This window comes from Homo sapiens, chromosome 6, assembly GCF_000001405.40.
Source record: "Homo sapiens chromosome 6, GRCh38.p14 Primary Assembly".
Classification (NCBI taxonomy): Eukaryota; Metazoa; Chordata; class Mammalia; order Primates; family Hominidae; genus Homo; species Homo sapiens.
Genome location: NC_000006.12, coordinates 17,732,597 through 17,751,835, shown reverse-complemented (window position 1 = coordinate 17,751,835; position 19,239 = coordinate 17,732,597). Strand labels below are relative to the sequence as shown.

General features: G+C 47.5%; 4 annotated features.

Moving 5' to 3' along the window:
* Positions 5,784-6,284: an enhancer, noted in NCBI's record as "H3K27ac hESC enhancer chr6:17745783-17746283 (GRCh37/hg19 assembly coordinates)". NCBI's record gives its function as "activates a minimal SCP1, AML or CMV promoter by ChIP-STARR-seq in primed H9 embryonic stem cells {active_cell/tissue: H9 hESC(primed)}" and the evidence as "EXISTENCE:reporter gene assay evidence [ECO:0000049][PMID:30033119]".
* Positions 7,632-7,832: a silencer, noted in NCBI's record as "peak5708 fragment used in MPRA reporter construct". NCBI's record gives its function as "represses an SCP1 promoter by STARR-seq MPRAs in K562 erythroleukemia cells {active_cell/tissue: K562}" and the evidence as "EXISTENCE:reporter gene assay evidence [ECO:0000049][PMID:32103011]".
* Positions 8,854-9,085: a silencer, noted in NCBI's record as "fragment chr6:17742982-17743213 (GRCh37/hg19 assembly coordinates)". NCBI's record gives its function as "represses an EF-1alpha promoter that drives an FKBP-Casp9 reporter gene in an ReSE screen in K562 erythroleukemia cells {active_cell/tissue: K562}" and the evidence as "EXISTENCE:reporter gene assay evidence [ECO:0000049][PMID:32094911]".
* Positions 9,703-10,262: an enhancer, noted in NCBI's record as "H3K27ac-H3K4me1 hESC enhancer chr6:17741805-17742364 (GRCh37/hg19 assembly coordinates)". NCBI's record gives its function as "activates a minimal SCP1, AML or CMV promoter by ChIP-STARR-seq in primed H9 embryonic stem cells {active_cell/tissue: H9 hESC(primed)}" and the evidence as "EXISTENCE:reporter gene assay evidence [ECO:0000049][PMID:30033119]".

Sequence of the window (19,239 nt, the reverse complement as noted above, 5' to 3'; positions counted from 1 at the left end):
TTACGCCTGTAATCCCAGCACTTTGGAGGCGGAGGTGGGTGGATCACTTGAGGTCAGGAGTTTGAGACCAGCCTGGCCAACATAATGAAACCCTATCTCTACTAAAAACACAAAAATTAGCCAGGTGGGGTGGCCCACGCCTGTAATCCCAGCTACTCGGGAGGCTGAGGTGAGAAAATCACTTGAACCCGGGAGGCAGAGGTTGCTGTGAGCCAAGATGGTACCACTGCACTCCAGCCTGGGCAGCAGAGTAAGATTCTGTCTCAAAAAAATATATAAAAAATATTTCCACTGCATTGCTATTTATTAAATGTAAGGGATTTAATATGCATTGCTCACATAATCATTCCAACAGCCCTGTGAGGTAGACACTGTCATTAACCCCATTTTACAGATGCGGAAATTGTGTCTCAAAGGGGTTAAGGATCTGTCAGGATTACAGAGTATCACTTAATATGAGCTTACAAAAAAACAACAACAAGGCCGGGCACCGTGGTTCACGCCTGTAATCCCAGCACTTTGGGAGCACGAGGTCAGGAGATCGAGACCATCCTGGCTAACACGGTGAAACCCCATCTCTACTAAAAAATACAAAAAATTAGCCAGGCATGGTGGTGGGCGCCTGTAGTCCCAGCTACTTGGGAGGCTGAGGCGAGAGAATGGCATGAACCCGGAAGGCAGAGCTTGCAGTGAGCCGAGATCGTGCCACTGCACTCCAGCCTGGGTGACAGAGCAAGACTCCATCTCAAAAAACAACAACAACAGAAGATCACAAAGGGCCAGGCACGGTGGCTCACACCTGTAATCCCAGCACTTTGGGAAGCCGAGATCAGGAGTTCATAACCAGCCTGGCCAACATGGTGAAACCCCATCTCTACGAAAAATACAAAAATTAGCTGGGTGTGGTGGCACACGCCTGTAATCCCAGCTACTCAGGAGGCTGAGGCAGGAGAATCGCTTAAACCCAGGAGGTGGAGGTTGCAGTAAGCCTAGATCGTGCCACTGCACTCCAGCCTGGGCAACAGAGTGAGACTGTCAAAAAAAAAAAAAAAAAAAAAAAAAAAGATCACAAAGACCAGAAAGGGAAGGAGCTAGGCTTCAAATCCAGGAAAACTGTCTGCATAAGAATCTGTCAGTCTCAGCCGGGCGCGGTGGCTCATGCCTGTAATCCCAGCACTTTGGGAGGCCGAGGTGGGTGGATCATTGAGGTCAGGAGTTCAAGACAAGCCTGGCTAACATTTTGAAACCCCATCTCTACTAAAGATAGAAAACTTAGGCGGGGCGTGTAGCTCACACCTGTAATCCCAGCACTTTGGGAGGCCAAGGCGGGCGGATCATGAAGTTAGGAGATTGAGACCATCCTGGCCAACGTGGTGAAACCCCATCTCTACTAAAAATACAAAAAAATTAGCTGGGCTTGGTGGCACAAGCCTGTAGTCCCAGCTACTCGGGAGGCTAAGGCAGGAGAAGCACTTGAACCCGGGAGTTGAAGGTTGCAGTGAGCTGACATTGCGTCACTGCACTCCAGCCTGGCAACAGAGTGAGACTCTGCCTCAAAATAAATAAATAAATAAATAAGCCGGGCGCGGTGGCTCACGCCTGTAATCCCAGCACTTTGGAAGGCCGAGGCGGGGGATCACGAGGTCAGGAGATCGAGACCATCCTGGCTAACACGGTGAAATCCCGTCTCCAGTAAAAATACAAAAAATTAGCTGGGCGTGGTTGTGGGCACCTGTAGTCCCAGGTACTTGGGAGGCTGAAGCAGGAGAATGGCGTGAACCCGGGAGGCAGAGCTTGTAGTGAGCTGAGATTGCGCCACTGCCCTCCAGCCTGGGCGACAGAGCGAGACTCCGTCTCAAAAAAAAAAAAATACAAAAATACAAAAATTAGCCAGGCGTGGTGATGGGCGCCTGTAGTCCCAGCTTCTCGGGAGGCAGAAGCAGAAGAATCGCTTGAACCCAGGAGGCGGAGATTGCAGTGAGCCAGGATCACGCCACTGCACTCCAGCCTGGGTGACAGAGCGAGACTCTGTCTCAAAAAAAAAAAAAAAAGTCAGTCTCAAAATCTTGTTCAGAAGAACTGCATAGAACTGTACAGTGGCTGCCACAGTTATACTTGACTTAGTTTTGAATTTTCAGCAGAAAAGGAAAAACTGCAGGAGTGGCATTCCTCCTTTCTGGGCAGCTCTGATACTTTGCTGTTTGTTTCCCCCTTATCTGGTGATCTCCAGCCTTTAAGGTGATAAAATGTAGCTCTTGACTAAAGATTGGGGCATCCCTGACACAGATTCAGTATATAGACAGGAAAGATCATTCTTTTTTTTTGAGACACAGCTTCACTCTGTTGCCCAGGCTGGAGTGCAGTGGCACGATCTTGGCTCACTACAACCTCCACCTCTTGTGTTCAAGCGATTCTCATGCCGCAGCCTCCCAAGTAGCTGGGATTACAGACGTGTGTCACCATGCCAGGCTAATTTTTTGTATTTTTAGTAGACACAGGGTTTCACCATTTGGGCCAGGTTAGTCTTCAACTCCTGGGCTCAAGTGATCCACCCGCCTCGGCCTCCCAAAGCGCTGGGATTACAGGCGTGAGCCACTGCGCCCAGCCAGGTGAGATCATTCTTTAAAACACACACAAACTTGAGAAAATAAGCTTATTCTAAAATGTAGTAAAGGCCGGGTGCGGTGGCTCATGCCTGTAATCCCAGCACTTTGGGAGACCAAGGCGGGCGAATCACCTGAGGTCAGGAGTTTGAGACCAGCCTGGCCAACATGGTGAAACCGTCTCTACTAAAAATACAAAAATTAGCCAGGCATGGTGGTACGTGCCTGTAATCCCAGCTACTCGGGAGGCTGACGCAGGAGAATGGCTTGAACCCAGGAGGCGGAGGTTGCAGTGAGCTGAGATTGCACCATTGCACTCCAGCCTGAACAAGAGCAAGGCTCCGTCTAAAGAAAAAAAAATAGCCGGGCGTGGCGGCTCACGCCTGTAATCCCAGCACTGTGGGCGGATCACAAGGTCAGGAGATCAAGACCATCCTGACTAACACAGTGAAACCCCGTCTCTACTAAAAATACAAAACAAATTAGCCAGGCGTGGTGGCGGGCGCCTGTAGTCCCAGCTACTCAGGAGGCTGACGCAGGAGAATGGCGTGAACCCGGGAGGCGGAGCTTGCAGTGAGCCGAGATTGCGCCACCGCACTCCAGCCTGGGCAACAGAGCAAGACTCCGTCTCAAAAAAAAAAAAAAAAAAGTAAAAATATAATATGAAAGGGAGCATCACTCCTCACTCATAAAGCATGAGGTGTGCCGCACAGTGACTTCCTTCTAAAAAGTATGGAAAAGGGAAAATGTAACTTTGTAGTAGAGAAACTTGACAAACACGACTTCAGGTGATCAAAGTCAACATCAACAGTGATAAGTCATGTAGACAGTATGTACCATTGACACCATGTGATACAAATGGCACTTCACCAATGTGATTTTCCTCCCCAAACCCATAACCCCAGTCTAATTATGAGAAAAACATCAGGCTTACAATACACCTTAGGAAACTCCTCAAACATGTCAGACATCAAAATCAAGTAAAGTCTGAGATACCATCACAGCCAGGAGGAGCCTAAGAAGACAGGACAATTAAATGTAGTGTGACAGCCTACATGGGATCCTGGAACAGAAAAAGGGAATTAGGTAAAAACTAAGAAATTGGCCGGGCGCAGTGGCTCATGCCTGTAATCCTAGCACTTTGGGAGGCCGAAGCAGGTGGATCACAAGGTCAGGAGTTCAAGACCAGACTGGCCAAGATGGTAAAACCCCATCTCTACCAGAAATACAAAAATTAGCCAGGCGTGGTGGTGGGTGCCTGGAATCCCAGCTACTCAGGAGGCTGAGGCAGAGAATTGCTTTAACCCTGGAGGCAGAGGTTGCAGTGAGCCAAGGTCACACCACTGCACCCCAGCCTAGGCGACAGAGCTAGACTCCGTCTCAAAAAAAAAAAAAAAAACCTAAGAAATTAACTGTGAAGTTTAGTCGTGTGTGTGTGTGTGTGTGTGTGTGTGTGTGTGTTAAATGAGTTAAAACCATGTGGGGTTTTTTTGTGTTTGTTTGTTTTTTGAGACGAAGTCTCGCTGAGGTGGGAGGATCACTTGAGCCCAGGAGGCTCAGGCTGCAGTGAGCTGTAGTGAGATTGTGCTACTGCACTCCAGCCTGAGTGAGAGAGCAAGACCCTGTCTCAAACATACATAATTTTAGAAATAAAAATTTAAAAAAAAAAGCTTTCACAGTAACCTAGAAGATATGGGTTTGAATTGGCTTGATGAAGGCAGAATGGAAGTGACATATTAGAGATATGTTTTATAGTGACTGCTGAAATATGGGGGATGAATACTAGCTTAGGGTGTTGGGACTAATGGCATTAGCTGATATTAGGAATGCAGGAGAAAGAACATCTTTGAATGGCAAGATAATTGATGTTTTGGACAAGTGCTCAGTAAAGGTAAGTAGCTTTTCTCTCAGAGATACTTTCTACCCCTATATTGTTTCAATTCACCTGTTCTTTGACTTCTTCCTCCTTCTTCCTTACTATGCAGGAAAAACAAACCAGACACAGCTTTTTTTTTTTTTTTTGAGGCAAAGTCTCGCTCTGTCACCCAGGCTGGAGTGCAGTGGCATGATCTTGGCTCACTGTAACCCCCACCTCCTGTGTTCAAACGATTCTCCTCCCTCAGCCTCCCGAGTAGCTGGGACTACAGGCGCGCACCGCCACACCCGACTAATTTTTGTATTTTTAGTAGAGACAGGATTTCATCATATTGGCCAGGCTGGTCTCGAACTCCTGACCTCATGATCCACCTGCCTTGGCCTCCTAAAGTGCTGGGATTACAGGCCTGAGCCAACTTGCCCAGTCCTGGCACAGCTTAATTATATGTTATGATTCATTTTCATCAATAGCCAACTTTATTATCAGTTTCGAAACCTAATCTCCCTGCCTCTAACCTCTCACTTTTCCCATTCTGCATATATGTCTACTATGTAGAATGTCTTTTACATGCATTATCTCATCTTACAAATTGGAACAATTTGTAAGATAAACATTTTCATATCCATTTTATAAATGAAGAAAAGAAGTTTGAGAAAATTGCTCAAAGTCAGACAGTAGGTGAGTGGCAGCACCAGGCCATGAGTCTATCTGACTTCAAAGGCAAGCTCTAGGCAGGGCGGGGTGGCTCACACTTTTAATCCCAGCACTTTGGGAGGCCAAGGCAGGCAGATCACTTGAGATCAGGAGTTCAAGACCAACCTGGCCAACATGGTGAAATCTCATTTCTACTAAAACTACAAAAAAATTAGCTGGGCATGGTGGCAGATGCCTATAATGCAAGCCACTCAGGAGGCTGAGGCAGGAGAATCGTTTGAACCCGAGAGGCGGAGGTTGCAGTGAGCTGACATTGTGCCACTGCACTCCAGCCTGGGTGACAGAGCGAGACTCTGCCTCAAAAAAAAAAAAAAGGCAAGCTCTAGTTCCATTAAAACCATCTTAAGTCCAGCTTGATTTGACTCCAAGCTACCTTTTTGGGCCTGCTTACTGATCATACCCTCTCTCCAGACTCACTGTACTACTTTAAGATCTTTTTTATTATTATTTTTTTTTTAGACAGGGTCCCACTCTCTTGCCCAGGCTGGAGTACAGTGGCATGATCGTGGCTCACTGCAATCTTGACCTTCTGGGCTTAAGTAATCCTGCCACCTCAGCCTACCAAGTAGCTGAGACCATAGGCCCATGCCACCATGCCCAGCTAATTTTTGTATTTTTTGTAGAGACAGAGTTTCATCATGTTGCCCAGGCTGGTCTTGAACTCCTAGGCTCAAGTGATCCACCCACTTCTACCTCCCAAAGTGCTGGGATTACAGACGTGAATTACCACACCCAGCCTTTAATATCTTTAATGGGCTCATGCCTGTAATCCTAATGAGAGGTGACAGCGTGCTGGCAGTCCTCACAGCCCTCACTCGCTCTCGGCGCCTCCTCTGCCTGGACTCCCACTTTGGCGGCACTTGAGCCCTTTAGCCCACCGCTGCACTGTGGGAGCCCCTTTCTGGGCTGGCCGAGGGTGGAGCCGGCTCCCTCAGCTTGCAGGGAGGTGTGGAGGGAGAGGCGCGAGCGGGAACCGGGACTGCGTGCGGCGCTTGCGGACCAGCTGGAGTTCCGGGTGGGCGCGGGCTTGGCGGGCCCCGCACTCGGAGCAGCCGGCCAGCTCTGCCGGCCCGGGGGAATGAGTGACTTAGCACCCGGACCAGCGGCTACGGAGGGTGTACTGGATCCCCCAGCAGTGCCAGCCCACCGGCGCTGCGCTCGATTTCTCGCCGGGCCTTAACTGCCTTCTCACAGGGCAGAGCTCGGGACCTGCAGCCCGCCATGCCTGAGCCTCCCACCCGCTCCATGAGCTGCTATGGGGCCGAGCCTCCCCTACGAGTGCCACCCCCTGCTCCACGGCGCCCAGTCCATTCGACCACCCAAAGGCTGAGGAGTGCGAGCGCAGGGCGCGGGACTGGCAAGCAGCTCCACCTGCAGCTCCGGTGCGGGATCCACTGGGTGAAGCCAGCTGGGATCCTGAGTCTTGTGGGGACGTGGAGAACCTTTATGTCTAGCTCAGGGATTGTAAATACACCAATGGGCACTTTGTATCTAGCTCAAGGTTTGTAAACACACCAATCAGCACCCTGTGTCTAGCTCGAGGTTTGTGAATCCACCAATCGACACTCTGTATCTAGCTGCTCTGGTGGGGCCTTGGAGAACCTTCATGTCTAGCTCAGGGATTGTAAATACACCAATCGGCACTCTGTATCTAGCCCAAGGTTTGTAAACACACCAATCAGCACCCTGTGTCTAGCTCAGGGTTTGTGAGTGCACCAATCAACACTCTGTATCTAGCTACTCTGGTGGGGTCTTGGAGAACCTTTGTGTCCACACTCTGTATCTAGCTAATCTGGTGGGGACCTAGAGAACCTTTGTGTCTAGCTCAGGGATTGTAAACGCACCAATCAGCGCCCTGTCAAAACAGACCACTCGGCTCTACCAATCAGCAGGATGTGAGTGGGGCCAGATAAGAGAATAAAAGCAGGCTGCCCGAGCCAGCAGTGGCGAGCCGCTTGGGTCTTTTTCCACACTGTGGAAGCTTTGTTCTTTTGCTCTCTGCGATAAATGTTGCTGTTGCTCACCCTTTGGATCCATACTGCTTTTTATGAGCTGTAACAGTCACCATGAAGGTCTGCAGCCTCACTGCTGAAGACAGAAAGACCACAAGCCCACCGAGAATGAACGAATAACTTCAGACATGCTACCTTAAGAGCTGTAACACTCACCGTGAAGGTCTGCAGTTTCACTCCTGAGCCAGCGAGACCACGAACCCACCAGAAGGAAGGAACTCCAAACACATCCAAACATCAGAAGGAACAAACTCCAGACATGCCACTTTAGAGAGCTGTAACAATCACTGCAGGGTGTTCTCAGCTTCATTCTTGAAGGCAGTGAGACCAATGAACCCACCAATTCCAGACACACTAACACTTTGCAAGACTGAGCTGGAAAGGATCACTTGAGCCTAGGAGGTCAAGGCTACAGTGAGCTATGATCACAGCACTGCACTCCAGCTCCAGCTGGGGTGACAGAACAAGACCATATCTCTTCAAAAAAAAAAAAAAAAATCCAAACTATGCTTATATAGATCACAAAAACTCACGCTTTTCCAGCAGTTTGAATCCTCTCCGTCCTAAGCCAAGATCCTCTTCATCCTTCAAGGCCTAGCTAAAAAGCCAACTACTCAAAATAGCTTTCCCTCTTCATTTTTCTTCAGTATTTGGATTTCCTCTCAAAAGTTTTTTTATTTTCCGTTGCAGTTGTTTTCATGTTTAGCTTAACCAATTAAACTCAGTTCCTTTTCCATACTTCACTAACCTTTCTTTGCCCCAAATTAAGTACAGGGTTTTTGCATATGAAAAATTCTTAAGATGTATGTCAAATTTTAATGTTTTCAAGTTTAAAGATAGCTGGTGTGGGTTTAACTTAGTTTATGCTACCAGTTTGCTCATTTTAATTAAAGAGTGAATTAGTTAATAGAAGGAAGATCCCAAAAATGCAACGATACAATGTCTTCTCATCAGTCAATTAATGAAAGCATAAAATCAAGATAGAAATGAATATGTGCACTCTCAAATTAGGCATCGTTCCCAAACAGTTGTAATCACTTGATAGGCAATTTTTTCTCTCTGTGCCATAGATCAGTGACCCCAAGGAAAGTTGCCTAATCCAGGGGATGTATAAGATCATAAGATCATTCACTGGGATTTGGAAAGAAAATATTAGGTTTTCTCACTCTGTTTTGCCTCAATGATTTGTTTATATCCTTTACATGTACCATAATTATAATTATAGTAGCTTTACAGCGTATTTTAAAAGTTGTTAAGGTAAGTCTCCCCCTTTTTTTTTTTTTTTGAGACAGCGTTTCACTCTGTCACCCAGGCTGGCACAAGGCTTACTGCATCCTCGACCTCCTAGGCTCAAGCAATCCTCCCACCTCAGCCTCCCAGGTAGCTGGGACTACAGGTGCATACCACCACACCAAGCTAATTTTTGTATTTTTGTAGAGAAAGTTTCTCACTATGTTACCCAGGCTCATCTCAAACTCCTGGGCTCAGGTGATCCTCCTGCCTCGGCCTCCCAAAGTGCTGGGATTACAAGCTCAAGCCCACCACACCTGGCCTTCACTATTCTTTTTTTAAAATGTCTTAACAATTTTCATAATCACTTTTTTTTTTTTTTTTTTTTTTTTGAGATGAGCATCTTCCTATGTTGCCCAGGATGGACTCAAACTCCTGGCCTGAAGCAATCCTCCAGTCTCAGCCTCCTGAATAGCTGGGACTATAGGTGTGTACCAACCTGCCCAGCTTCATATGGTCACATTTTAAAATTAAATTTAAAATCATTTGTGGCCAGGTGCGGTGGCTCACGCCTGTAATTCCAGCACTTTGGGAGACCGAGGTGGGTGGATCACCTGAGGTCGAGAGTTCAAGACCAGTCTGACCAACATGGTGAAACCCTATCTCTACTAAAAATACAAAAAATTATCTGGGCCTGGTGGTGGTTGCCTGTAATCCCAGCTACTCGGAAGGCTGAGGCAGGAGAATTGCTTGAACCCAGGAGGTGGACAGTGCAGTGAGCTATTACTCCAGCCTGGGCAACAAGAGCGAAATTCTGACTCAAAAAAATAAATAAATAAATAAATAAATAAATAAAAATCATTTGGTGTAGAACGTAGTGAGGGGAATATTGTCTCTGCTCAGAAACATGTTTTAATGAGCTAGTTGAGATGGAAAGATGAAGCTCACCAGGGTTCACTGGGGCAAGCCAGTTTTTAGACATTATAAGATGACCACATGGAAAGTGACATTAGCAGATGGCCCCTAGTGCTTGTTCCTCCTACAAAGATAGCCAGAACAACAAATAAACAATGACTTTTTTTTTTTGAGACAGAGTCTTGCTCTGTTGCCCAGACTGGAGTGCAGTGGCGCGATCTTGGTTCACTGCAACCTCTGCCTCCTGGGTTCATGATGGGGTTTCACCATGTTGGCCAGGCTGGTCTCGAACTCCTGACCTCAGGTGATCCGCCTGCCTCGGCCTCAAAGTGCTGGGATTACAGGAGTGAGCCGCCGCACCTGGCCAACAACGACATTTTAATGAAAATAACTGAGAGACTGCTGGAGTGCACCACAGGAGTAACAGAATCCCAGGATGACCACATAGAGAATGGAAGGAAATGCCAGGACTCCACTATTCTGTCCCCTAATTGGGATCAGCTGAGAACCAGCTTCTCCCTTCAGCAAAGAGGTAAACAAGGGGATCCTAGCAACTCCCATCAACTTTAGACACCTACAAACCTCACCACTGTCCTCTGCAGTCCTCATAGGCACTAAGCCCAGCTGAGGAAGCTGCCTGGAGTCCACACAGCTGTGCTGCCCCAAAAGAAGGAGCCAGCACTGGCCACTCCCCCGCCCTGATCCACATGCTGCTGAATTGGAACTATGGCTGGGGTGTGACTTGCTCTGTGGGCAAGTGGTTACAGATCCCCATTCATCCCTGAAGCTAAATTGCCTTTGAACCTCCCAGCCTGGTGTCCCAACATCCCCAAGCTGAAATGCGAGCAGCAGTTACACCCTTCTCCATGGGGCCAGGCAGAGGTGAAGCGACGCCACCTACCCCTCCCGTTTCCTCCTCAGGCCAGAGCTAAAGCAGTTTCCTGTTTCTGGCCAGGCGCGGTGGCTCACGCCTGCAATCCCAGCACTTTGGGAAGCCGAGGCAGGTGGATCGCCTTACCTCAGGAGTTTGAGACCACCCTGGGCAACATGGTGAAATCCCATCTCTACTAAAATACAAAAAATTAGCCGGGCGTGGTGGCACGCACCTGTAATCCCAGCAACTCGGGAGGCTGAGGCACGAGAATCGCTTGAACCCAGGAGGCAGAGGTTGCAGGGAGCCGAGATTGTGCCACTGCACTCCAGCTTGGGCTACAGAGTGAGACTCAGTCTCAAAATAAAATAAAATAAAAATAAAGCAGTATCCTGTTTCACAGGAAAACAGTATCTTGGCTGCTCAGAGCAGTCATGTCTCCTCAGTGCCTAAGTTCATGCAGCAGCTGGCATCCCGGGTAATGAATGGTGTATTGGCCACCCAGAACGATCATGCACCCCAATACCTAAGCTGAAGCAATTGTCTGCATTCCAAGGAAATAGTACCTAGGCTGCCCAGAACAGTCATGCTCCCAGGCCTAAGCTGAACTGGCACATTGCCCCACCAAGGAATCGGTGTCCTGGCCAATCTCAGCAGCTGTGCATCTCTAGGCTGAGATGAGGTAGGACCCTGCATCCCAGGGAAACAGAACAGTGGCTGAGCTGAGACACCCTACCCTACAAGCCAAACAACTCCAGCACTCTGCTTCCCTGGGGCTGGAATATCCCCCTAGAGCCTGAGCTGCTGAGACACCCTCTCCCTGGAGAATAAAATCATTGCTATGCTGTTTCCTGCCCCAACCCACGTCCCAGATGACAGCTGTGCTCCATTATTCTGGGGTACTTGCTACCACTGCACCTGCTCTCACAGAGGCTGGGATACTGCCAAGCCCCACCACCCCAGGGTCTAGAGTCACCACTACACAGTGGCTCATCCCCTGGGACCTCAGTTCCCACTGAGCTCTATTGGCTCAGGTTCCTGAATCGCAGCTATACCCTGATCCCCAGACCCAAACCTCTAGAGCACCCCTTCATTGCCAGAGTCAGGTTAGTGCTCTGCCTTGTCCCCCATCCCCACTAGAGTTAGAATCACAGTTATAAAATGCAGTCCTTGGGGCCCAAGCCCCTAGTGGGGTGCCTCAGGGTTGCAGATCCTAGCTCTGGGTAACCTACATCTAAACTTCCCACAGAGAGCAAAGCTGCATCCCAAGACCCGAATGCCATAATAGGCTTGAGAGACCCTGAGACTAGGACCCTCACCCCACAGCCACTCCAAGCACCTGAACATGGAACTCACAGGATATTAACAACCTACACTGCTGCCACCACTGCCACAAACAGCCTAGGCCACCAAGGTGCCCGTGTTTTTTTATTGGTGACATTCAATGCAGCTGAAGAAGCTGCACAGACTATACCACTGCACGTATCTGGAAACAGAGTCACTACATCTTCCCAACTGGCACACTAAACTCAACTAGAGGTGAAAGTCTTTTACTGCAAAATCCACTCCAGAAAGTTTGGAAGAGGCAGCCAGGCATGATGGCTCACACCTGTAATCCCGGCACTTTGGGAGTCCGAGGCAGGCAGATCACTTGAGGCAGGGAGTTCAAGGCCAGCCTAGCCAACATGGCGAAACCTGTTTCTACTAAAAAATACCAAAAAATAATTAGCCAGCCGCAGTGGTGAGCACCTGTAATCCCAGCTACTCGGGAGGCTGAGGCAGGAGAATCCCAGCTACTCAGGAGGCTGAAGCAGGAGAATGGCTTGAACCCAGGAGGCAGAAGTTGCAGTGAGCTGAGATCACGCCATTGCACTCCAGCCTGGGTGACAGAAAGACTCTGTCTCAAAAAAAAAAAAAAAAAAAAATTTAGCCGGGTGTGGTGGCACATGCCTGCAGTGCCAGCTACTCGAGAAGCTGAGGCACAACAGTCACTCGAAACTGGGAGGCTGGGCAACAGAGTGAGATTTTGTCTCAAAAAAAAAAAAAAAAGTTTGGAAGAGGCAATTGTCTTACCGGGTGCATAGACATCAACACAGACGCACAAGAAACATGATAAAGCAAGGAAATATGACACCACCAAAGGAACATAATAACTGTATAGTAACAGACCCCAGTAAAAAGGAAATCAAAAAATTGCTGGAAAAAGAGTTGAAAATAATGATCTGAAGGAAACTCAGTGAGATACAAAACATACAGCTAGATAATTTAACAAAATCAGAAAAACAATTCACAATATGGCTGAGAAATTCAACAAAAATAGAAATAATTTTAAAAGAACCAAACATTTAAAACACACAATTCTGAGTTTATTTGCTTGCCTGCCAGACAAACGAACACACAACATAGACAAAATTTATTAAATAGTTAACTGGAAGGTCAGAGTGGAAGATCAAGGGGCTCTATCCATTAGAAAGGGGGCTTCAAGGCGGTTATACTAATGATTGAAAACTCCCTTTGCAAATAAAACAGAATGAGTCCATAAGTCTAAACATGATTGGCTAAATCCAGTCCATTGGTCAGAAAGTAGTCTGTAGTTTGGTCCAATAATATTTTGTACATACCAGATTACTCAAAATTCTAATTGTAGGATGTTAGTTTGCTGAAAGTTTATGGTTGTTTAATGACTTTACCTGGTTGAAAACAGTTTTTGATGAAACCCAGCACTCAATTTTGACCTCTCCTAGGTATATGTAGCTGTAAGTGGAAATTGTTCCTTTTATAGGTATGATAATGTGATTTATGCCATGTGGAATTTGTGTATATGTGTGTGGGACACACCTGATTTAGCTTGGAGAAGGGTATATATTGGTAAGGGAAAATGAATGACATTACAAATATAGCACTCTCAACAAGTAAAATTTATCAAATGCTAAAGACAAGAACTGGGCTTTAGAGTAGGGAAGACATTGTTTTGCCTTGTAATTTAGCCACCAGTTACCTGGACATATTCATGTAAATCTGTTTTTTCATATAAAGCAGGGACAATATCAGTCTTACCAGTTAATGGGCAGATTAAATAAGATAATGTATATAAACCAACTCCTTCAGTGGCCTAACTCTCTTTATGGAATGAGCATCAAATAGCTGATTGTTTTCCTCTGCTGCAAACCGCTGCCCACATGTACCCCATATATGAGTGCCTCCACTGTCCCTCCATACCCTTCTGAACTCTTTGCCTCTTTCTAAGAATGTTCCCTCCACATTTGCACCACTCCCACTTTTCATGTGTATTCCTTTTTATTTCTCCTTTCTCCCCTCAATATTTAACATACGATTTGCAGGTCCAAAAGTAGCCTTTATTCATATTCTTCATAATAAATTAGATTCCATTATAACTTTTTTTTTTTAAAAAAAGAACCAAACAAATCCTGCAGCTGAAGAATTCAAAAAGGTTCTCATTGAGGCACATTATAGTTGAATTGTCAAAAGTCAAAGAAAAAGAGAATCCTAAAAACAGCAAGAGAAAACTGTCAAGTCACATATAAGGGGATTCCTATTAGACTAACATCAGATTTTTCCACTGAAACCTTACAGGCCATGAGAGAATGGGATGATATATTCAAAGTGCTGAACAAAAAATCTGCCAGTCAAGAATACGACACCTAGTATTTGAGAAATGAGGGAGAAATAAAGTCTTTCCCAGGCAAGCAAAAACTGAGGAAATGTATCACCAATGGAGCAGCCTTACAAGAAATGCTCAAGGGATTGCAACATCTGAAAGTGAAAAGATGATAATCACTGTCATGAAAACACACAAGTATAAAACTCACTGCTAGGCAGATACACAAAAAAGAAAGCAAAGAATCAAACCTTATTACTACAGAGAACAACCAAATCACAATGATACACAATAAGAAAGGAAGAAAGGAACAATGGATATACGAAAACAATCAGAAAACAATTAACAAAATGACAGAAGTAAGTCCTAACCTATCAATAATAACCTTGAATCCTTGAATGTAAATGGATTGAACTCCTTCTTAAAAGATAAAGCCTGAGGGTCTGAGTGCAGAGGTGTTTACAACTTACTGAACATAACCAGTTACAGATTTCTTTGTTCCTTCTCCACTCCCACTGTTTCACTTGACTAGCCTTAAAAAATACATGTGAATGTTTCGAAAAGATACGAACTGACTGAATAGATTTTTAAAACCCATGACCCAAGCTGGGAGCGGTGGCTCTCACCTGTAATCCTAGCATTTTGGGAGGCCAAGGCAGGTGGACCACTTGAGGTCAGGAGTCTGAGACCAGCCTAGCCAACATGGTAAAACCCTGTCTCTACCAAAAATACAAAAAAATTAGCCGAGTGTGGTGGTAGGTGCCTGTAGTCCCAGCTACTCAGGAGGCTGAGGCAGGAGAATAGCTTGAACCTGGGAGGTGAAGGTTGCAGTGAGCCAAGATGGCACCACTGGGAGACAGAGCAAGACTCTGTCAAAAAACAAAAAAACCCATGACCCAATTACATGCTGCCTGTAAGAAGCTCACTTCACTGTAAAAACACATATTAAACAGAAAGTGAATGGGTGGAAAGGATATTTCATGCATTCTTGGCACGTTGGCTCATGCCTATAATCCCAGCACTTTGGGAGGCTGAAGTGGGAGGATCACCTGAGCCCAGGAGTTTGAGACCAGCCTGGGCAATAGAGCAAGACCCTGTCTCAACGAAAAATTTAAACATTAACTGGACATGATGGTGCACACCTGTAGTCCCAGTTACTTGGGAGGCTGAGGCAGGAGGATCATTTAAGCCCAGAAGTTCAGAGATGCAGTAAGTCATGATCACACCACAGCACTCCAGCCTGGGTGACAGAGCGAGACCCCATCTCACAAAATAAATAATTAAAAAGATATTCCATGCAAACAAAAACAAAAAGTGACTGGGAGTAGCTGTACTTACATGAAATAAAACAGACTTTAATTCAAAAACGATAAAAAAAGACAAAGAAAGTGATTATATAATGATAAAAGGATCAATTTAGCAAGAGGATATAACAATTATAAATACATGCTTTAGCTCTCCCTCTCCCCTCTCCCCTCTCCCTCTCCCCGCTCTCCCTCTCCCCACGGTCTCCCTCTCCCTCTCTTTCCACGGTCTCCCACTGACGCCGAGCCGAAGCTGGACTGTACTGCTGCCATCTCGGCTCACTGCAGCCTCCCTGCCTGATTCTCCTGCCTCAGCCTGCCGAGTGCCTGCGATTGCAGGCGTGCGCCACCACGCCTGACTGGTTTTCGTATTTTTTTGGTGGAGACGGGGTTTCGCTGTGTTGGCTGGGCTGGTCTCCAGCTCCGAACTGCGAGTGATCCGCCAGCCTCGGCCTCCCGAGGTGCCGGGTTTGCAGACGGAGTCTGGTTCACTAAGTGCTCAATGGTGCCCAGGCTGGAGTGCAGTGACGTGATCTCGGCTCGCTACAACCTCCACCTCCCAGCCGCCTGCCTTGGCCTCCCAAAGTGCCAAGATTGCAGCCTCTGCCCGGCCGCCACCCCGTCTGGGAAGTGAGGAGCGTCTCTGCCTGGCCGCCCATCGTCTGGGACGTGAGGAGCCCCTCTGCCTGGCTACCCAGTCTGGAAAGTGAGGAGCGTCTCTGCCCGGCCGCCATCCCATCTAGGAAGTGAGGAGCGCCTCTTCCTGGCCGCCATCCCATCTAGGAAGTGAGGAGCGTCTCTGCCCGGCTGCCCATCATCTAAGATGTGGGGAGCGCCTCTGCCCCGCCACCCCGTCTGGGATGTGAGGAGCGCCTCTACCCGGCCGCGACCCCGTCTGGGAGGTGAGGAGCGTCTCTGCCCAGCCACCCCGTCTGAGAAGTCAGGAGACCCTCCGCCTGGCAACCGCCCCATATGAGAAGTGAGGAGCCCCTCCACCCGGCAGCCACCCCATCTGGGAAGTGAGGAGCGTCTCTGCCAGGCAGCCACCCCATCCGGGAGGGAGGTGGGGGTCAGCCCCCGCCAGGCCAGCCACCCCGTCCAGGAGGGAGGTGGGGGGGTCAGCCCCCCGCCCGGCCAGCCGCACCATCCGGGAGGGAGGTGGGGGGGTCAGCCCCCCACCCAGCCGCCCCGGCCGCCCCTACTGGGAAGTGAGGATCCCCTCTGCCCGGCCAGCCGCCCCGTCCGGGAGGGAGGTGGGGGGGGTCAGCCCCCCGCCCGGCCAGCCGCCCCGTCCGGGAGGTGAGGGGCGCCTCTGCCCGGCCGCCCCTACTGGGAAGTGAGGAGCCCCTCTGCCCGGCCAGCCGCCCCATCCGGGAGGAAGGTGGGGGGGTCAGCCCCCCGCCCGGCGAGCCGCCCGGTCCGGAGGTGAGGGGCGCCTCTGCCCGGCTGCCCCTACTGGGAAGTGATGAGCCCCTCTGCCCAGCCACCACCCCGTCTGGGAGGTGTACCCAACAGCTCATTGAGAACGGGCCATGATGACAATGGCGGTTTTGTGGAATAGAAAGGGGGGAAAGACGGGGAAAGGATTGAGAAATCGGATGGTTGCCATGTCTGTGTAGAAAGAGGTAGACACGGGAGACTTTTCATTTTGTTCTGTACTAAGAAAAATTCTTCTGCCTCGTGATCCTGTTGATCGGTGACCCTACCCCCAACCCTGTGCTCTCTGAAACATGTGCTGTGTCCACTCAGGGTTAAATGGATTAAGGGTGGTGCAAGATGTGCTTTGTTAAACAGATGCTTGAAGGCAGCATGCTCGTTAACAGTCATCACCACTCCCTAATCTCAAGTACCCAGGGACACAAACACTGTGGAAGGCCACAGGGTCCTCTGCATAGGAAAACCAGAGACCTTTGTTCACTTGTTTATCTGCTGACCCTCCCTCCACTATTGTCCTATGACCCTGCCAAATCCCCCTCTGTGAGAAACACCCAAGAATGATCAATTAAAAAAAAAAATTATAAATACATATGCACCCAACACTGGAGTATGAAGATACATAAACCAAGTACTAGAGCTAAAGAGAGATAGGCGGCTGGGTGCGGTGGCTCATGCTTGTAATCCCAGCACTTTGTGAGGCCAAGTCGGGCGTATCACCTGAGGTTGAGAGTTCGAGACCAGCCTGACCAACATGGAGAAACCCCGTCTCTACTAGAAATACAAAATTAGCTGGGCGTGGTGGCGCATGCCTGTAATTCTAGCTACTCGAGAGGCTGAGGCATAAGAATCACTTGAACCTCGGAGGCAGAGGTTGTGGTGAGCTGAGATCATGCCATTGCACTCCAGCCTGGGCAACAAGAGTGAAACTCCATCTCAAAAAAAAAAAAAGAGAAGTAGGCTGACTCCAATACAAGTAGTTGGGGATCTCAATGTCCCACTCTCGGCATTGGACACATCATCTAGACAGAAAATAAAAAAAGAAAAACTGGGCCAGGCATGGTGGCTCACGCCTGTAATCCCAGCACCTTGGGAGGCTGAGGCAGGAGGATCACGAGGTCAGGAGATCGAGACCATCCTGGCTAACACGGTGAAACCCTGTCTCTACTAAAAATACAAAAAAAAAAAAAAAAGAAAAACTGGACTTCTAACCAAATGGACCTAACAGCTATTTACACAACATTTCCTCTAAGAGCTGCAGAATACACATTATTTTTGTCTTTTACCTAGTTCTTAGTAAGTGTGCAATATTTTCATCAGCACATGGAACATATTCCAGCACAGACCACGTTAGGCCACAAGTCTCTACAAACTTAAAAGAATTGAAATCATATCAAATACCTTTTCTGCCAATAATGGAATAAAGCTAGAAATCAATAATGAACTTTTGAAATTGTACAAATACAAGGAAGTTAAGTAACATGTTTCTGGTCAGGTGCGGTGGCTCACACCTGTAATCCCAGGACTTTGGGAAGCCAAGGTGGGTGGATTATCTGAGGTCAGGAGGTCAAGACGAGCCTGGCCAACATGGTGAAACCCCATCTCTACTAAAAAAATACAAAAATTAGCTGGGCGTGGTGGCAGGTGCCTATAATCCCAGCAAGGAAGGCTCCCAGCGAGGGAGGCTGAGACAGGAGAATTGCTTGAACCTGGGAGGCAGAGGTTGCAGTGAGCCAAAATCACTCCATTGCACTCTAGCCTGGGCAACAAGAGTGAAACTCCATCTCAAAAAATAAAATAATCTAATGATGCATCTCAAGGAACTAGAAAAGCAAGAACATTCACAGAGAAAGCCCTGCTGAAAATGAGTTCATGATTTAAAAAATTACAAATCAACAAAGTAAACAGAAGAATCAGCAAAGACAAAAACAGCAAAATTAGATTACTAAGATTTAAGATACACAACTCTTAGATAGGCACTATCAAATAACTATCTTTTAAATAATTAGACATTTTAAAAGACTTGAAAAGGAAATAAAATAATATAAAAAAGAAGAGGAATATTGGGAAAAGACCCAAGAATCTGAAGAAATGAAAGCTACATTTATGCAAATTAAAAACTCAATGAATCCGGGCATGGTGGCTCCTGCCTGTAATCCCAGCACTTTGGAAGGCCAAAGTTGGAGGATCACTAGAGCCCAGGAGTTTGAGACCAGCCTGGGCAACATGGGAAGACTCCATCTCTACAAATAATTTAAAAATTAGCTGGGCATAATGGTAAGTGTCTGTGATTGGGAGGCTGAGGCAGGAGGATTGCCTGAGCCCAGGAGGTTGAAGCTGCAGTGAGCTATGATTACACCTGCACTCCAACCTGGGCAACAGAACCAGACTCTGTCTCAAACAAACGCACTCTCAATAAATGTGTTAACAGCAGAGAAGACATTGAGGAAGAAAGACGGGTAAAGGTGGAAGAGATTTTTTTAAAAAGTATTGCACAGAGAGATGAAGAAAAGAGATAAATATGGAAGAGCAACAGAGATGAAGGACAGAATGAGAAGACCAATTATAAATCAATATGAGTATCAAAGGAAAACAAGCATGCAAGAATGGGGAAGGCAAAGGGAGAAGATTCAATTGCTGAACATTTTTCAGAACTGATGA